The 3,911-nt window shown below is 43.6% G+C and overlaps 1 annotated feature.

Annotated features, from left to right (window-relative positions):
• Window positions 550–1,051: an enhancer, noted in NCBI's record as "H3K4me1 hESC enhancer chr9:36725931-36726432 (GRCh37/hg19 assembly coordinates)". NCBI's record gives its function as "activates a minimal SCP1, AML or CMV promoter by ChIP-STARR-seq in naive H9 embryonic stem cells {active_cell/tissue: H9 hESC(naive)}" and the evidence as "EXISTENCE:reporter gene assay evidence [ECO:0000049][PMID:30033119]".

A 3,911-nucleotide genomic window follows, 5' to 3' on the forward strand; every position in this document is an offset into this window, starting at 1 on the left:
GGTATGTTTATTTATTTGACAAATATGTTTTGGCCACTATGACCCTATTTTCTCATATTTCATTGAATGTAAGATGCCATCAATTAATTGTATACTGAACAATGATTGGCCTACTATGAAGGAAAGAATGCTGCCCATTACACTTTGACTTATGATGGATTGCAAGTTATATCTCAATTTCAGAGATACTAACATGTGAAAAAAAATACCCACCTTAGAATCGATGAACCAGGTACCACGTTGGGAACCTCTGGGCTATGGTGGTGAATAAGGCCATTAAAGCCTCTGCCACTGCTCAATTTGCAGCTCAGTGCAGGCTTCTGGGTGGAGACACTTTTCCAAAAACTCCTGAGGTCTAAGTATGTCTCCTTGAAGACTGTGGCAGGTATCCTATGTTCAATTTAAAATGTCAGATGTGAGGGAGAGTTCCAGGCTGTATGGGGTGCCAGAAGAGAAAATTCTTGGTTTACATGGTCACATGATTGCTCTGGGACCTGGGGCCAGTCAGTTGTGCTTTCTGTGTCTCTGGTGTGAACAGGGGGATTGATTCTAGCTCTGAGGCCTTCCTGGCTTCAACCTTCAGGGACTCTGTTGGGTCCCCCATGGTGGCCAAGTCCCCCTCTCCCAATTGCAGGAAGGGCTTCCTTCTGGATATATGGTCTGCCAAGGGAATGCAACTCTCCCTTGGTGAGTGCCACTCACTGCCAGACTGGGATGGGTGGGAGTGGTGCTTGGGGTGGGATAGGCAGGGGAAGCTCCAGGTGTCAGGTTACACTCCTTGCAGAGCACTGCTGGGCCTGAATGGGAGCCAGGGAGAACGTCCTGCCTTCTCCATCTTTGTTCCTACTAGTTTTTCACAAAGGGACACATGCAGTTTTCCCCTTCATTGTGGGTTCCCTATGTGGGAAAATTCCATTTGCTAGGCCTCAGAACCAGTCCGTGGAACCATGACGGCACCTTCCCCCACCCAGTGTGCCCGATTAGCCTCCAGAGGAGGCTTCTGAAAGGTCAGCTGGTGGGGCATTTCTACCCTGTTGTGGACGATGTGAGGTCAGCACAGACTCCAGGGAGGGCGGCCAGTTTCTACCTAGTCCTGAAAGCAGCACTAAGTTAAATGCTCGCGGGGGTGGGGCAGGAGGGTGGGAAACCCAAGGCTGAGAATACTGTTTGTTTAGAGCGTGATCCACAGAGCATCGAGGGCCCGCTTTCTGTACCTCATTATGTGAAGCCTTGAAGCCTTGTGGTGCCAGCTAAGGGGGGAAGTGCTCAGTGTGGGCCAAGGGAGGAGCTACCCCTGGGGTCCCTCCTGCTGAAAGTCTGGAGTGGTCATGGGGATGAGGGCAGAATTAGATACCTGTCCCAGGACCCTGGTTGAGGGTAGAAAGTCATTTCACGTCGGGAGGAGGCTGGGGGCTGATGCGACACTTGAAAATATATATTTATCATTTTTTTATGACTAGATAAATACTAGAAAATCTAGAAACATAGACAAAAATCCAAAAGAATAAAATAAAAATCACAGCAATCCAATAATCTAGAGTCAACTTCCTTTGACATTCTGGTGTATTTTCTATTAGAATCTGTGTTCTAAACACAGGCCTAGATCTTACATTTGAAGGGCCCAGGGCAAGGGTACAATTGGAGTTCCACATACCATATGTTTAAATATTTAATATTTAAATCATTTTTTCTAAGAAAGATTTTCTTCTGAAACATTCAAAATTATCTGTCAAGACCAAAAGGCAAAACTCAAATTACAATGAGTAAATCTTAAAAATTTAGATGAAAATTATTTCTGTAAAGCAGACATTAAAATTTTTTAAAAACGTTTGATTACATTCCATTAGGTATTAAAAATAGCAAAACTCTATGCTATTTGAATGGCCAGGATCCAGGGTCTATAGTTGTCAATGTAAAGAACTGATATACTTCATACATATTATGTCTGGACCTACACGCAGGGAAATTTAAGAGTGCAATGAATCGTTTGCTATTGCAGAATAGTCTTCAGCTGTTAGGTTCCTCTGGAACCATGAATTAGAACATGAAGAAAAGCAAGGAAATGGACACTTGGCACTGCTGGGAGACTATACTTTGTTATGTAAGAAAATGTTGCATTCCACGCTACCTGAGAGGAAGTGTTTGACAAATTAATTTGTCTATTCTCTTACATGCTTAAGCACGTCCACTGCTCAAATTTTCCCTGTACTCTGAAGCGTCGTCCATCTCTGATGTCAGCCACAGCACAGCCCACGTGGTGTTGTGGCATTGGGATTCAGTCCCTTTTGTCTCAAAGACAGAGGACAAGACCTGGAGACACATCTCCTGGGTCTTGATGATGTTAGTCCCAAGTTAATGTTTAGGGTTACGCTATGCAGCACTGAACACCAGGTCGCAAGTAACAGAAGTGACTGTCTTCATAATAACTATTTGCCTATGTGTGTTTATGAAATGCCGAACACTTTGAATTGTGGGATCTAAGGCATGGACCACACTTACCCAGGTCTAAGGTCTAAGCGTGTGTGTGTGCGTGTGTGCGTGCATGTGCATGTGTGTGCGTGTGTGTGTATATAAAACTATGTATATATTTAATTTAAAATTAATATATTTATTTTAATATTGTAAGGTCTAATTTTAAAAAATACATATATAGAAAATTAGTACTAAATAGTGAGTACCTCTGGAACCACAAATTATATTTTATATGCACAAGGAATTTTAAAATATTAGGAATGTACAATATGTATTATTTCCTCAGTTTTCTAGCATAATTTTTTTCTTTATACATATTCTTCTAAAAATTTATTTTTAATGATTATACAGTATTCCACAAAACAGATATGTCATTATTTATTTATTTATTGAGACAGAGTCTCACTCTGTTGCCCTGGCTGAAGTGCAATGGTGTGACCTTGGCTCACTGCAACCTCTGCCTCCTGGGTTCAAGCGATTCTCCAGCCTTAGACTCCTGAGTAGCTGGGATTACAGGTCGCCGCCACCACGCCCGGCTAATTTTTGTATTTTTAGTAGAGATGAGGTTTCACCAGGTTGGCCAGGCTAGTCTTGAACTCCTAACCTCAAGTGATCCACCTGCCTTGGCCTCCCAAAGTGTTGAGATTGCAGGCATGAGCCACTGGGCCTGGCTGTGTCATCATTTATTAAAGCAGTCCTGTAGTGGTTGTTTCCAATTTTTATGTTGCTTCCAGTTTTTCTCTACTATCAACACCGCCACAATGAACATCCTTGTGTGCATGTAAGCTACATTTCTGGAAGTGGCATCCTCAGGTCGGAGCATATACATTGTGTATATTTAGTTGAGTCAGGGGGCAGCCCCTTTAAAAAGACCCAAGTTTCATTGATAAGCTCTTTTATTTTTTGTTTGTTTAGAGTTGGTCCCAGGGAGACCGAAGCCTGCAGGCAGTACTAGAATTGGCCCAGGGAATGGGGTCTGGAGTTATGGATCCCAACTCTCTCTGAGCTTGGGAGAGTCCCTTCCCCTGTCTGGGCCTCACTTTCTTTATCTGTTCAAAGAAGACTCATTGGTACTGACCTAATGAGAAAAAAAAGGGAAAATAAAAGAAGAACAAAGAGGAGTCAGAGTAGGTTGCAGAGTCCTTGCAATCAGAAACGCTCTGATTCTGGGAGGGTTTGCTTGCTGGGTAAGTGGAGCCAAGCTCCAGCCTCTGGGGCTCTGTCCCTGAGACCATCCTGCCCCCTGCTGGCCAGTTGCCAAATGCCAGCTTTGTTCCTGACTCCCACAGGGAGATTCCCCGGAAATTTGCTGGACTCCCAGCAAGTCAGTTGCCCACTGTGAAAGCAGGAGGCTACAAGAGTATGAGAAGTGAGCGCCAACATTGCTACAATTCATTTAGCTGCTGTTTCACTTCTGGAAATTACATTCTTTGGGCTGT

The sequence above is a fragment of the Homo sapiens genome, chromosome 9 (genome assembly GCF_000001405.40).
Source record: "Homo sapiens chromosome 9, GRCh38.p14 Primary Assembly".
Taxonomy (NCBI): domain Eukaryota; kingdom Metazoa; phylum Chordata; class Mammalia; order Primates; family Hominidae; genus Homo; species Homo sapiens.